General features: G+C 37.8%; 2 long non-coding RNA genes across 7 annotated transcripts in view, besides 1 other annotated feature; one reads left to right on the forward strand and one right to left on the reverse strand.

Annotated features, from left to right (window-relative positions):
- Positions 1–16,378, reverse strand: part of LOC105379271 (uncharacterized) — a 114,785-nt gene that overhangs the window by 31,945 nt on the left and 66,462 nt on the right. The window contains exon 3 of one of the 6 annotated variants that reach the window (XR_949084.4): positions 1,852–2,105. The exons of the other annotated variants lie outside the window; for them this stretch is intronic. This is a non-coding gene — a long non-coding RNA (uncharacterized LOC105379271). Of the gene's footprint in view, positions 1–1,851; positions 2,106–16,378 lie in introns of those variants that run through there. 6 annotated transcript variants of the gene reach the window in all.
- Positions 1,277–14,817, forward strand: LOC105379272 (uncharacterized). The gene is made up of 5 exons (XR_007068488.1): positions 1,277–1,350; positions 6,745–7,026; positions 7,620–7,833; positions 9,168–9,253; positions 14,013–14,817. It is a non-coding gene; the product is annotated as an uncharacterized LOC105379272 (long non-coding RNA).
- Positions 8,197–8,698: an enhancer, noted in NCBI's record as "NANOG hESC enhancer chr1:143393020-143393521 (GRCh37/hg19 assembly coordinates)". NCBI's record gives its function as "activates a minimal SCP1, AML or CMV promoter by ChIP-STARR-seq in primed H9 embryonic stem cells {active_cell/tissue: H9 hESC(primed)}" and the evidence as "EXISTENCE:reporter gene assay evidence [ECO:0000049][PMID:30033119]".

Genomic DNA, 16,378 nt, shown 5'->3' on the forward strand with positions numbered 1-16,378 from the left:
ATGGAAAAATCCAAATTCTGCCAAAATATGTTGAGAAAATAGAGGGTAAATATATCTTTTCAAACTTTAAATGCCTCAGGCTCTTAGTTAATCTTCCCCAGATCTGGAAAGACCTAGAAGGGGAGATTGGGCTACCTTAATGAGGGCCATTTCAATCTCTTGGCCCTGCAGCAGCCATTTCAAAATACGTCAAAAAATATATTTGTGGGTAAAATATTTTGATTTCCTTCAGCTTCTTCTCTCTGTGATGCTGCACCAGAATCAGATTAGAAAGGAAGCCATATTATAAGTGTTAATAAAACCCATCTGATGAGATTTGATAGTTTGAAGGGTGTGTTTCCCAGACCCTTTAGATAGAAATTGGGGCCAAGGAAAACAAGGTCTTATTCCTCTATATAAATCTGTCAGTGCTTTAAGCAGCGAAAGAAAGATTTTTCATTGAATTTTACAGACTTGATACTAATGAAAAGGATAGCTTGTAAAATATAAATCTCTTTTTCTATAAAAAGGACATGTTGTTGATTCTCTTAGACCTTGAACCCTGGCCAGTGATTTGAAACCAAGCAGTACCTATCTGCAGATCTCTAGTACCAAATTAATTTGGGGTGGGGGGTAACAGGTTTATTGAGAAATAATGAACACGCCATGCAATTCACTCATTTAAAGTATAGAATTCATTAACTTTAGTATTTTCAGAGAGTTATGCCGTCATCATTACAATTAATTTTAGAACATTTTCATCACCCTAAAAACAAACCCCACATCATTTAGCCATCTTCACTAGTTTTCCCTTCCTCCCTCAGCCCTAGGGAACCACCCACCTTCTTTGTATAGATTTGCCTATAAGCCTCTGAAATAAAAAGCAAGTGGTCTGCTGGGACTGGCTTATTTCACTTAGCATAATTTTTCATGCTGCATCTGTGCTGTAGCAGGTATTGATGCTGGGTTTTTGCTCCTTAGTTCAGCTACATCTGTGTTCTTCTCTCGTGACCAGGAAAAATTAAGCATGCAGACACATTGAGGAGGGCAGAATTTATTATGTGAAAGCACAGCTCTCAGCAAAGAGAGGGGTCCTGCAAAGAGGTTTCCACCTCACAATTGAATACCAGGAGCACATGAGCTGAAGCGGCCAGGCTCCTCCTCTGCATAAGGTGTGAATTCCTGGTGACTCCACCCCATCCCCCCACTGCATGTGGGCCTCCAGTCTGCTGTGGGCATGTCCAGGCAAGACAAGTCCAGGTTCCCTTATCTGCACATAACATCTGGTGTAAACACTTGTGGGGCTCGTTGGAGATTCTCCGGGGACCCTTCCGTATCTGCATAGGCATTTTGCTGTCTCCTCCTAATACGGTATCTGTACTTAATTTCTTCTTATTGCTGAGTAATATTCCATTGTATGGATACATCAAACATTTTATTTATCCATTCGCCAGGTGATGGACCTTTGGGTTCTCTCCCAGCCAAAGGTGACAGACGTTCTGGTTCTTTCCACCTTTTGACTACTATTAATAATGCTGCTGTAAACATTTATGTATGAGTTTTTGTGCTTGCGTATGTTTTTATTTTTCTGGAGTATATACTTATGACTGGAATTTCTGTGTCATATGGTAACTTCATGCTTAACCCTTTAAGGAGCTGCCAGTTTGTTTTCCAAAGTGGCTGCATCACTTTACATTCCCAGCAGCATTAGATAAGGGTTTTAATTTCTTTACATTTTTCCTAACACTCTTTTTTCTTGAACAAAGATTTTATCCTGTGGTGTGAAGTGATACCACATGTGGTTTTGATTTACATTTTCCTAATGACTAATTACATTAAGCATCTATTAATGTGCTTATCCATCTTTATATCTTCTTTGCAGATATATCTATTCAAAATCCTTGCCCATTTTTTAAAATTGGCTTATCTTGTTATTTATTAATTGCAAGAGTTATTTATATTTCCTATATATGTAAGTCCCTTATCAGATACACGCTTTTCAAATACTTTCTTCTACTTGGCGTCTTACCTTTTCACTTCTTCATGCTGTCTTCTGAGGCACAGCAGTTTTCAATTTTGAAGTCCATTGAATCCATTTTTCCTTTGGAGTCATAGCTAAGAAAACACTGGCAAATGCAGTCACAAAGATTTATGCCAGTGTTTTCTTCTGAGGGTTTTATAGTTTTAGCTTTTACAGTTAACTGTTTTATTTTGAGTTAATTATTAAATATGATATTTGGTCGAACTTTATTTATTTTTTGCTTATGGATACCCAGTTGTCCCAGCACCATTTGTTGAAAAGACTATTCTTTTCCCATTTTGTTCTTTTGTTAAGCTTGTATAAAATCAATTGACTGTAAAAGTGCAGGCTTATTTTTAGATTGTCAATTCTTAGCTTGTTTATGTCTATTCTTATGTCAAGGCCCAATCGAATTGAATGAGAAGTTTTTTTCAATCATGTTGCATATTACCAGTTGTCTTATGTCATAATAAAAATTAAATTTAGTGGAATGTCTGTAACTTCACCTTTTGTGTCACAAAGGAGTCTCTGGCCAGCTTATACCTTACTTCCTCTAAGACATGATCAGACGCCAGGCTTACAAGACACACTTAATTTCTTTTTTTCTCCATTCAAGCCTTTAGTCTCTTTTCCATTGCCTCCCACTATAGTTATATTTTCAGAAAGTTTTGGTTACAGGATCTGCTGACATAGTCTAATATTCAGTGCATTATGTTTTACTAACTCATTATAATTCATAGAACCTTCCATAGATGTTTACCATCTAGGAAGGAGAAGTTTAAGTCTGAGCCACCAGCTTTCCTCAGTGGAAATCAAGTGAAGTCATCATCTTGCAGTTTACAGACCCTCTTTCCTCCTGGTAGCTGGTTCTCTTGGGTAGCACTGTGGCTAATCCTTTTATTAGTGCAGATCTTGCATTCTCAGAAACCACAGTTCCCTATATTGACCTCCTTTTACTGAAACAGAGATGCACAGCTCTGCTTTCTAGCTCAGTAGAGGATTCTTGGAATAAAACGTTTAACTCATTCCAAGAAAAAGTCTTAGGAGTGCAGCACTTCAAAATCAGGTAACGTTCAGGCAATTTATCAGAGACACATAGTAGATTAGTATTTTGACTTTCAAAATTTCAGAGCCAAGTTGTGTGCTATAGAGAAGCATTGTGGCATAACATAGAAATGGGATGGTCTTAACTTCTCCATACAAACAAGCTTGGAGTAAGGTAAAGGAGAAGTTGCATTTGTGTCTTAACACTCAAAACACACTATGCTTATTTTACTTCTGTGAAGAATAAAAATCATTCCATAATATTCTCCTTATTTCCTCATTTAGAAAAGAAAATGAAAATTGAATACTAGGTTGATTAATAAATACTCAAAACTTCTTCTTTTAGAATTTTAGTTAATTGAAATCAGGTAAATGTCTGATTTTGCCTATGTCACCCAGTATTTCTAGTTGTTTTTCAAATCATACATCTTCTTGCTTCCCAGTCTTACTTCCTAACTTGAGGGGAAATTGTAAGAAGACACCCTTGCCTTGTTATCAGAGTTCATAATTGAAGTTGTTTTAGGAAAATTCCTCCTCAGCAGCTTATGTCTCTCTCCTGGTTATCTACTGCTTCTCAATAATGTTTGACATCAATAAATAAATATCAACCTTTATTAGATCCTGCTTTAAAGGAGACTCTTTTCTGCTGCATAAGTTATGTTTCCTGTTGTCTCTTTTTAAAACTTATTTTCCTAACAATTACCCAGAGTCTTGTGGCTTGAAAGAAAAACATTTATTTTGTTCATGAACCTGTGGTTTGGGAAAAACTTGGCCAGGACAGCTTGCTCTGCTCCCTTCAGCTTCCCTAGGAACAGCTGATCAGTTGGGGAAATGGAATCCTCTGAAGCTTTGGTCACCCACTTGTTTGATGGTTGATGCTGGCCATCGGCTGTAAACTTGGTTGGGACAGGCAGCATGAACACTGACACAGGCACTTTCAGGCTCTGTTTGTGGCCTGATGGCTCTCACAATTGGGGCTGGGTTCCAAGGGAAAACAGTCTGAGATAGGGAAGCCACATGGTATCCCTTTCACTACATTCTACTCATTAGAAGGAAGTCAGTAAGGCTGGCCCATATTCTGTTTTTTAAATGGGATGAATGTAGCTTCTCTTTTGTTTTAATTGACACATATATACATAATTATGGGCTATAGAGTGATATTTTTATACACGTATATAGTGTGTAATGATCAAGCTAACTAGCACATTTACTACTTCAACCATTTTTCATTTCTTTGAATTGTGAACATTCAAAATTTTCTGGCTTTTTAAAAATATACAATAAGTCATAGTTAACCATATTCACCCTACAATGCCACAGAACACCAGAACTCACTCCTCTTATCTAACTGTAATTCTGTATCCATTAACCAGCCTCCTCTCCCCTACTTCTGTGAGCTTTTTTTTGTTAAGAGACAGGGTCTTGCTAGTGTAGTCTGGGCTCTGGGCAACTGTAGTCACCCAGACTGGAGACAGTGGTTTGATCATAGTTCACTGCAGCTTCAAACTCTTGGGCCCATCTGATCCTCACACCTCAGCCTCCTGAGCAGCTGGCATTATGGGCATACACCATTGCACATGTCTGATTTTTGACTTTGTAGAGATATCTCCCTATGTTGCCCAGGGAGCTCTGGAACTTTTGGCCTCAAATGATTCTCTTGCTTTGGTCTTACAAAGAGCGAGGAAGTTACAGGCATCAGCCATATTGCCCAGCCTTCAATTTTCCTTTAGCTCCCACACATGAGTAAGAATGTGCAGTATTTATCTTTCTGTGTCTGCACTTAACATAACATCCGTCAGACTGATCCACGTGGCCACGAATAACAGGATTTAATTCCTTTATATGGTGAATAGTATTCCACTGTGTTTGTGTGCCACAGTTTTTCGTCCATTCATTTGGTGATGGACATGTAGGTTGATTCCATACACAAGCTGTTGTGGATAGTGCTACAGTAAACATATGAGGACAGATATCCTTTTGATCTATTGTTTTCTTTTCTATTGCCTGAATACCCGGTAGTGGGGTTGCTGGATCCCTCGGCAGTCCCATTATTAGTTTTTTTGAGAAAACCTCCTGTTGTTCTCTATAGTGGCTGCACTAATTTACCTTCCCACCAACAGCATGTAAGAGTTTACTGTTCTCTGGAGCCTCACCAGCATTTGCTATTTTTTTTGTCTTTTCAATGACAGCAATTTATTCAAATTGAAGCAAGATTATATCACATTGTAGATTTGATTTGTATTTCCCTGAGGATTAGTGATACTGAGCATTTTAAAATTTATTTATCGGCTATTTGTATTTCTTTTTCTAAAAAAAAGTATAGTTAGATATTTTGCCCAATTTTAAACTCAGATTTTTTTTACTGTGAAGTTGTTTGAGTTTTTTTGTATATTTTGTATATTAGTCCCTCATTAGGTGAATAGCTTGACAATATTTTCTCCTATTCTACAGGTTTTCTCTTCACTCAGTTGTTTGCTGGACAGAAGCTCTTTAGCTTAATGTAGTGTCTTTTGTCTATGATTTGTTGTTTGCCTATGCTTCTGATGTCTTACCCATAAAAATCTTTGTGCAGACTAATGTCCTCAAGCATTTTCCTTATATTTACTTAGAGTAGTTTGATAATTTTGGGCCTTACATTTCAGTCTTCAATCGATTCTGAGTTTATGTTGTTATATGGTGTTACATAGGAAGCTAATATCATTCTTCTCCATATGGATATTTAGTTTTCCCAGTGTCATTCATTTGAAGAGGCTGTCCTTTCCCCAGCGTATGTTCTTGGAATGTTCGTCCAAAATCAGTTGGCTGGAAATATGTGAATTTATTTCTGGGTGCTGTATTCTATGGTCTTTACCCCAAGAATCATTACTTCTTAAAATGCAATTCAAATTAGCATGAAACATTTGCAGTTTAAGGAAAGGCTTATAGCATCAGAATCCTTAATCATAGATTTCATTATTTTGTGTTGTTTTTTGATATAGGGTCTTTGTCTGTTATCCAGGCAGAAGTGCAGTGATAATAATTCACTGCAGCCCTGAACTCTGGGTACAAGCCATCCTTTTGCCTCAGTATCCCAACTAGCTGGGTCTACAGGCATGAACCACCATGCCCGGGTAATTAAAAAAAATTTTTTTTTGTAGAGATGGGGGTCTCACTATGTTGCTCTGGCTGATCTTAAATTCCTGGCCTCAAGTGATCTTTCTGCCACAGCTTTTTAAAGTGCTAGGATTACAGGCATGAGCCACCATGCCTAATATAGAGTGTAATATCACTTTCAAAGTCTTATTCCTAGACCCATTTATTGACTTTGGCCTAAATAACTCAATATGATATCTCTGAAACTTTTTTTGACATACTGTGGGGAATGATAATGAAGGAAGGGGGTTAGACACTTTTTACTAGGAGATAACTTTGTGCCATTTAAGGAGGAACAAAAATGAATTATCAGAAAAATAAAAGTAAAATTAAGTACAAAAATTCTGTGGCAAAGATGATGATAGTAAAGAATATATTTTTATGACTCATGGTAGCTTTAACTTTGTTCTTAAAATTCTGAGTAATTTAAGGGTTCACATTTGAAGAATCTGCTGCATTACAGATAACATTTTATTGCAAGTAAATGCATTTCAAAATTTGCTATTGGTTTTGTATTAGATTATTCTCAGCCTACTTCATTATCAAGTTATACTATTTTATTCTTGCAGTTTGATGATCTTATGGCGGAGAAGGAAGCTGTATCTTCAAAATGTGTCAATTTGGCTAAAGAGAATCAAGTTTTTCAACAGGAGTTATTATCTATGAAAAAAGTACAACAGGAATGTGAAAAACTTGAGGAAGATAAAAAGATGTTGGAAGAAGAAATATTAAATCTTAAGACACATATGGAAAACAGTATGGTAGAACTTAGTAAACTACAAGAATATAAATCAGAGCTAGATGAAAGGGCAATGCAGGCAGTAGAAAAATTAGAAGAAATCCATTTACAGGTGAGTTGTTTAAATCAGGTAAGTTTACTTGTAATGTGCTTTCATTTATTTCACTGCAAATTATATTTTGGAGATATATATATATATAAAGAGATTGCCTCTCTTGTAGCAATCTGCTTTGTAGAGTTCTAGAAAAAAATGGTATCTGTTTTTTCTTTTAAATATTTAAATTTCCATTATTATTATAACAAAATCAATCTTTCAGAGTAATGATTCTCATTATGGAGTCATTTGATGATTAAGACCAGTTGGCATAGGAAAAAATTGTGTTTTAGAAATTATGTGATAATTATGAATTGGTCTTAAGCTACAGTGTTCATTGATCACTTTTTAAAACTATGAATGGATTCTATTACTTTTTATATGACCAGATTACATTAATACTAGCATAATTATGATTTCAAATTTTTACAAATCAGACTTAATTCTGAATTCAGTTATTAGTTTTGATATTGCTGAAATATTTTAAACTTCATCCTCTTTTTTAACATATTCAAAAATACTCTTTGAATCGCTGACTCAAAATGAAAGGCAACAAACATAATAATTAGGTTATAATTGTTTTAAAAGTGTATTCTTTTCCTCTGTTTTAGGAACAAGCACAATATAAAAAACAATTAGAGCAGTTAAACAAGGATATCATACAGCTTCACTAAATAAGAAGGAACTCACACTTAAAGATGTGGATTGTAAATTCTACAAAATGAAAACTGCTTATGAAGAGGTTACAACTGAGTTAGAAGAATATAAGGAAGCCTTTGCAGCAGCATTGAAAGCTAACAGTTCCATGTCAAAAAAATTAACTAAGTAAGTCAAAACATACACTCATAGAAAATGAATTAAGCTCATTAATTTGTTTCAAAAGCATAATTTTTAGTGAGATGGCTTCAGGAGATTAGAAGGAAGTGAATGCTAATTTGACAATGTAATTTTGAAAAATAACGTGAGTAAATAATTTTACCTTTAAAATGTTAGTCAAAGATAGTTTTTGTCTCTCCTCTCATTTTTTTTTTTGCTTTTGTATGGCTTTTTTTCCTGAAAAGTCTCATATAATTAACCTGATCTGTTAGTTTTTTTCACTAAGTATTTTTGAAGCTTTATAATTAATGAAGTGATCTTGTTATAAAATTACTTGTCAGAATTTCCCTAAATAGAAATATTAATGTGTTTAATTTACTTTTCAGTGGATCACAACCTAAATGCAAAGTGGTACTGCTACTCTGGGCACAATTGTTTTTGATTGTGATCTTTAGTATTATCACCAGAGGGTGCCTCAAGAAAGACTATTTGTGTAACATATTCAAGATGTTACAGAAAGGCACCCTTGTGAAATAGGGAATAATTATCACAGGAATTTAAAGAAGTGTAATTCACAAAGCGGTTAAAAAATAACACCTTGTTCAGCCTGAAGCGGTGTGTGGAAGGCAGAAAGAACATGCCCCACCTCCAGGGCCTTGGTCACAGTGTTGGGGACTAATTGCCTTCAGAGATGCTTTAGTTCTTTTTGATCACCAACCAGACAATCTAGTTCTCCCCTAGGAGTTGTTGCTCTGAATTATTCCTCAGTGCCAAATGTTTAATTGGTCCTAGATAATGGGTGTGTACAAGAGTGAAATCTAAAACTGGTTTACTAAACACAAGTGTTCCTAGATTTTTTTTCTTTCATTTTAGTTTTCTTAACCTACATTAAGGAGTACAACATGATGTTTTGATATAATTATTTCTAGTGAAGTGGTTCTTATAATCAAGCAAATCAACATATTCATTTTCCCACATTATTACCCTTTAAATACAAGTATTTCTAATGGAATCTTCAGAATCTTCCAAGTAGAGCCATTTTAGAAGGCAGGAAGTTTTACCTGTTGAGCCATACATCACTGATAGCCATTTCTCTTCCCTGTCTACTTTGTTTGAACTGCTTGTTCAGTAGAAATCACCTTAGAAACAATGGTGCTTCTTTAGAATGATTTTAAAATTATAATTCCTTACAACAGGTATGCTCTTACACATCTTCTGTGTGAAAACACTATTTAGTGGGTAATTTGGTTTACTCTCAGGGTAAGTTTTTAAAAACTGCAAGTCATTAAGAATCATTTAAGGAAAAATGAAATATTAAGCATTTGTCTTTGCTACCTTTACAGATCGAATAAGAAAATAGCAATGATCAGTATCAGCTCTTTATGGAGAAAGAGCAGGTGAAATATTTTCTCAGCACTCTTCCTACAAGGTGAGGTCGAGAGTCACCTTGTGTTGAAAATCTTACTAGTATAGGACTCAACAGAAAATATATTCCCCAAATGCCCGTAAGAATTCCTACTTCAAACCTCAGACTTCAAATAACTGCCAGAACTACTTGACTGAGGTTAGTTATATGACCGTTTCTCTTTAGGGTTTCATTTCTCTAGCGTAATTCTTGTTTATAATTTGGTGAAATACTGAGTTGTTCTGTTGACTTTTGCATGTGAAGTAAAGATCATAATTAGCTGTGTTAACACAGAAAGGAAATGGGAACTTTACATTTTTTAATTCCCTGGAGCTCTCATTTTCAAGAGATATCCATTTGCTAACTTTATTCAATAAATGTGACTAAACTGACATGATTGAAATGTCTTTAAAAGCTGCATTTAAGTTAGGTTTTAGAAATTGCATGTTATTGCCTGATAACTGATGATATACTTTGAGATGCTCTGGCTTACTCTCTAATTGATTGTAGTTTAGCTGTGGTTCATACCACATTTTTTTTTCTTTTTTTTTGAGGCAGTGTCTCACTCAGTCACCCAGGCTGGAGTGTCTTGGTGCCATCTCCACTCACTGCAACCTCCACCTCCCGGGTTCAAGTGATTCTCCTGCCTCAGCCTCCTGAGTAGCTGAGACTAAAAGCACCCACCATTACACCCAGCTAATGTTTGCATTTTTAGTAGAGACAGGGTTTCACCATATTGGCCAGGCTCTTCTTGAACTCCTGACCTTGTGATCTGCCTGCCTGAGCCTCTCAAAGTGCTGGGATTACAGGCATGAGCCACCGCACCCAGCCCATGCCACTTTTAAAGTTTCTTTGCACCAGCCAGGTGTGGTGGCTCATGCCTGTAATCCCAGCACTTTGGGAGGCTGAGGCAGGTGTATCACGAGGTCAGGAGTTCAAGACCAGCCTGGCCAAGATGGTGAAACCCCAACTCTACTAAAAGTACAAAAAAATATATTAGCCTGGTGTGGTGGTGGGCACCTGTAATCCCAGCTACTAGGAAGGCTGAGGCAGAGAATTGCTTGAACCTGGGAGACGGAGGTTGCAGCAGCTGAGATTGCACCACTGCACTCCAGCCTGGGTGACAGGGCAAGACTCCATCTTGAAAATAAAAAAAAATTAAAAAAGTTTATTTGCACCATCTCAATTCTTCCCACCCATAATCACAACTGAATGATTAGCATCCAAACACTTTGCCACATATGGATGTTTATTATTTAGTAGAATCCAAAATAATTGCATTTTATGAATTAAACAAAACACTAAAATGTTCATTTCCCTTTTTATGTTAAAAGCTTTGTGGTTGGCCAGGCATGGTGGTTCACACTTGTAATCCCAAAATTTGGGGAGGCCGAGGCAGGTGAATCACCTGACGTCAGGAGTTTGAGACCAGCCTGGCCAAAATGATGAAACCTGTCTCTAGTAAAAATACAAAAATTAGCAAGGCGTGTTGGCAGGCATGTGTAATCTCAGATACTCAGGAGGCTGAGGCAGGAGAATCACTTGAACCCAGGAGACAGAGGTTGCAGTAAGCCAAGATCATACCACTGCACTATAGCCTTGGTGATGGAGACTCTGTCTCAAAACAAAACAAAAAAAAAGGTTTGTGCTTTCCTTACATAAGAGTACATCTTCTGACTATAAAAATCCTGGAAAAAACCTAGGAAATACTCTTCTAGATATCATATTTGTCAATTAATTTATGGCTAAGTCCTCAAAAGCAATTGCAAGAATAACAAAAATTGACAAGTGTGATCTAATTTAGCTAAATAGCTTCTGCACAGCATGAGAAACTATCACGGGATTAAACAGACAGCATAAGGAATGGAAGAAAATATTCACAAAGTATGGATATAGCAAACGCCTATTATCCAGAATCCATAAGAGACCTAAACAAATCAACAAGCAAAAAATAAATAAGACCATTAAAAATGGGCAAAGGACATGAACAGACAGTTCTCAAAATAACACACATAAGTGGCCAACAAACATTAAAAAATGCTTACCATTGCTAATCATCAGAAAAATGCCAAACAAAACATCAATTAAATACCATTTCACATCAGTCACAATGACTTTTGTTAAAAACAAATAATAAATAAAAACTTAAAAAAGGATGTTGGGGAGGCTGTGGAGAAAAGGGAACACAAACCGTTTGTGGCAATGTAAATTAATTCAGCTACTATGGAGAGCAGTTTGGAAATTAAGAACTAAGAATGACTGTTGGATGCAGCAACCCCATTACTATACTAGGGGTATATCGAAAGGACAATAAATCATTGTAACAAAAAGATGTATACACATGTATGTTCATTGCAGCACTATTCACAATAGCAAAGACGTGGAGTCAATCCAGGTACATCCAAGGTAGATTGAAAATCCAAGGTAGATTGGAAAATTCCATATATACCATGGAATACTATGCAGCCATGAAAAGAACAAAATCACATCATTTGCAGCAACATGAATACAGCTGGAATCCACTCTCCTAAGCAAACCAACGCAGAAACAGAAACCAAATATGTCATGTTTTCACTCATGTGGGAGCTACATATTGGGTGCACATTGTCATAAAGGTGGGAATAATAGACACTGGGAAATAAGAACGGGGAGGGACAGAGTGGGCCAGGGTTGAAAAACTACTTCTTGGGTCCTATGCTCACAAACTGTGTGATGGGTTTAATTGTACTGCAAACCTCGGTATCCCTCAATATGCCTTTGGAAGAAATTTACAGAGGTACCACGTTAATTTAGAATACAAACTAGAAAAAAAAAGAAAAGTTTCCTATAAGTAGAGAACAGAAATTTCTTTTTAAGATAAAATTTATTGAAGTAAAAAATGGATTAAATTTTTATAAAGGGCAGAGTTTTCTAAGAATTTCAAAGCAATGCATTCATTGCAAAAGATGGCTTTAATTACTTAATCTTTTTTTTTTTTTTTTTTTTGTGAGACAGGGTCTCACTCTGTCACCAGGCTGGAGTGCAGCGGTGCAGTCTTGGCTCACTGCAACCTCCACCTCCTGGCTTCAAGCAATTCTCCTGCCTTAGTATCCCAAGTAGCTGGGACTACAGGTGCACATCACCACGCCCAGCTAATTTTTGTATTTTTAGTAGAGATGGGGTTTCCCCATGTTGGCCAGGATGGTCACGATCTCCTGACCTTGTGATCTGCTTGCTTTGGCCTCCCCAAGTGCTGGGATTACAGGTATGAGCCACCATGCCTGGCCATTGTTTAACCTTTGTACTAATAAAACACTACCTTTCTAAAATCATGTATATGCAATAGATCAATATTAACTGCATTTTTGTCAGATTACTCTAAACAGCATTACACATATACATCCTCTGTTATCTAAACTTAAAATAAGTAGAAATTTTATTTTATTTATGTGATTATTTTTCTATTTAAGCAAACTTCAAGTAATGTCTAGTCACTAAAAATACTAAAGGCCACATTTTGTAAGTGATACATGATTTTCATGATAATGTTTCTTGTTTAATTTAGACATTATTATTATTTTTACTTATTTTAGATGGGGCTGGACTGTGTAGAATAAATAATTAGAGAAACAAAGAGAAGTACGTTGACAAAATTTATTAATTAAATTTAGGTTTATTTTAGAAATAAAGTGTAAATAGCAAATGGCATTCCTTTTCATTCTTGGGTTAGTAGATACTACATCAATATTTTTTCTTACACACATCTAATGAAAGATGTGAAAACAAAAACTTTCACAGAGAAGACTGCACTTATGCACCATAAATTCATCATGTTCCAAAGCTTAAACAGTTCCCAAGAAGTCTGTGCATCTCTTCTTCACTGGTTCTACACTTTCTTAAGTTTTGCCATCCTCATGGAACTGTCAGCCAGCACACTGAAACGATTCTCAGAAAACAAAAGCATCATCAAGTTCTCAGGGTTTCGGTAGAGATTGAAGGCCAACAGACCTAAGACTCATTCAGAAATACTTAGCTGAGCAATAACCCTTCATAAGCAGTCACTTGACAGGTGACATTTTAAATCTCCTCTAATTTACTGTGTCATTGGCTTACACTTGTTCTCAGGAAAAGTTCCAAATTTTTCACCATGAAATAAAAACACCCATGTCAATGTAATTCTTGCCAAGTTACTCAGCCTTGTTTCTCACCACTTACTGCACTCTGCCCTTTGCTCTAGCACCAAACTGGATGGAGTGGAACTCTGCAGGGCTCTTCCTCACCTCAGGCTCTTTGCCTTTGCCTCTTTCCTCTATCTGGGAAGCTTTTTCTTGTCCTTCAGGTATCAACCTATGTTATCTCCTCCACCAGAAAGCCCATGATATTGACATAAAAGTGGGTAGATGTCCCTTCTCTGTGTTCCAGTAGTGCCCTGCTGTATACCTGTCATGGTATCTATGACTCTATATGGACATTGCCTGCCTGTCTGTTTTTTAGGTTATAGCTTATGACTGTTGAGAGGTGGACCATGCCATCTTCATCTTGTAATTCCAGTGCTGGTTCTAGTACCTTAGCATGTGGCTGTTGATTACATGAATGAAGACTGAAAAAGCTCTGATATTTAAACACAATTAGAATTAATGCCATGTGTAAATTATTAAATAGTAATTTTGTATTGTAAATGTACATACATATTTCTCATTCTTATTAACTCTGATAAAGTTCTCAAGTCTTTAGTTTTTAAACTCACTCTTAGTTAACTGAAGTGTTTTAGGTAAAGAACAAAATTCTTTATTTTTCTTTCCAGCTGTTGCTGTATTGGACACTTGCTCCCATCTACTTTCTTCTCTAGAATCCACGGGTAAGCCACATCTAATGAAGAGAATATTTAACCATAAAGTCTTAAGGAAAAATTCTATGATGATTTAAAAGATTATAAAACTTTATTACTGGGCTATTTACACATTTTAATTGTTTCTCATAAAATATATAACATTCCAATATTTACTGAAGTAGGATATTTTTGTATCATATGTATGATTATAATTTATAGGATATTTTAAATGATGTTTTTTGGCCTCCTTAAGTTTTAAGTGGATCTTGCAAATGAAAACCAGTATTATTGAGTTTGACATACTCAAATTGCCCAAATTTCAGCTGTTTAAACAACCAAGTCATCATTGATACTTTAGTAAAGGTTAGTAAATGTCATCGAAGGCTTATTTGCATTTTACAGTTTTTATTACTTAGGAGAGTTAAGGAGTACCTGCCAGGTTTGTCCATGCTAATGTTACAATTTTCTTTTTGTAGTTCAACCGTATTTTGTATGGAGATACTTTGAGGCTCTGTAAATATCTGGTTACTCCTCAGAACCCACTAGATTTAGCATTTCATGGATGACTTGTGTTTGAACAATTATTACTATGATGGTTACCAGATGATTATTTTCTTATTCTCTTCTTTGTTCTACATGGAGAAATAAAACCAATAAATAAGGGAGAAAGAAAGCTCATGATTCTGATGCTCCAATTCCCCAAGATTAGGCCAGTAGTAGACATTCCAAGCTGACTTTATGTCTCTTTGATTTGTCTCCATTACTCTGTCGGCACTTTTTTACTTTCTTTCAGAAGATGTTCTAAGCTCAGCTTGTATTTTCTCTGCACCAGCTCTGGAATGAGTCATTTTTTTTAGAAGCAGAGGTGGAGCCACTGAGGAAACACAGGTGAGCCCTCCCCAGTGTGTACTCACTGGTCCCCAACAGAAGAACCACTGCCACATCCACTGAAGTACCAAGAAACTAGCAAAGGGACTTCTGGCTGTCTGGGGAGAGTACTCATGTGGTCCCTGGCTGTCTCAGAGGTTCTGGATTAGTCTTCCTGTAGCCTCTGTGTTGTGTCTTTAGATCGGGGCTCTGTGGGAAGGGCCCTGAGAGACCCAACAGCACAGCGTGCCTTATCTGCCAAATGTCCCTCCCTTCCTCACACTCTGACACTCAGGAATAGGGTAGATGGTGTGTCCAGGCAGTGTCAGGCCACCTCACTTTCTCCTTTGAGACGGGCCCAGAGGGCCTTTGGGGTGAGTGTGGAGCTGGGAACTTGGAGCCTGAGGCCAACTGTCTCTCCCTGTGTCTTGGAGGAAAGGCCACGTCCCAAAAAAAAAACCCAGGGCCTGACCTCCGGGCACACATGCAGGGAGGGAGGGTCTATGAGCTGAGGGGGACATTGTAATGAGACTTTGAACCCCGTTGCTCTGGGGCCTGGTCAGTGGACCATGGTCAGAGATGACCTGGTCATCAGGACCTGGTCATTTGGGACCTGATCAGCAGGGGCCTGGTTAGTGGCAGCCTCCTCAGTGGGGACCTGGTGACCTAGTCATTGGAAGCCTGGTCAGTGGGGGGACCTAGTCAGTGGTGGCTTTATTACTGGGGCCTGATCTGTTGGAACATAAACAATGAAAAACTGGTTGGTGGGGCATACACAATATATCACGGGCCTGGTCAGTGTGGGGCCTTAGTGGCTTGGGGCCTGGTCAGTGAGGGCCTGGTCAGAGGGGGCTCAGTCAGCTGGGTACTCGTTCATGGAGAATTGTTCAGTGGGGGGTCGGTTGAGCAGCAACCTGGTAAATTGTGGTCTTGTCAGTGGGAACCCTGTCTTGTCAATGGGGACCAGGTCAGTGGAAAATTGGTCAGTGGGGTCTGGCCCATGAGGCCTATTAAGTGTGGGCCTGGTTAGGAAGACATGGTCAGTGGGGACTTGATCAGTGGGACTTGGTCAATGGAGGAGTGGTCATTAGGGGTCTCATCACTCATCACTGGGAACCTGGTCAGGGGCAGTTTGTCAGTACCTGGCCTGCTGGCCACTATCTGACCTCAGGCAGGGAGGTTGTCTGTGGAGCCTCCTTGCCTCCATCTGCAGGGAAAGTGAGTCGGGGCACCCTGGAGGGTCGCTGGAAAGAGAAGGTGAGAAGATGTGTTGAATCCAATACTGCTTGGCAGACCTACAACTTTACAAATGACCTGTGTTCCACCTAGAGAGTGTGCCAGCCCTCTCAGCATTATGCAGTGCCCCTCCTCTGTCTGCATCCCCAGTACCACCATGGGTGGGGAGGGCAGAGATTGGGGAGCACCTATAGAGGCTCTAATGCTCTAAGGTGACAGTGATGAGGACCTGGGTG

The sequence above is a fragment of the Homo sapiens genome (genome assembly GCF_000001405.40).
Source record: "Homo sapiens chromosome 14 unlocalized genomic scaffold, GRCh38.p14 Primary Assembly HSCHR14_CTG1_UNLOCALIZED".
In the NCBI taxonomy this organism is placed as follows: Eukaryota; Metazoa; Chordata; class Mammalia; order Primates; family Hominidae; genus Homo; species Homo sapiens.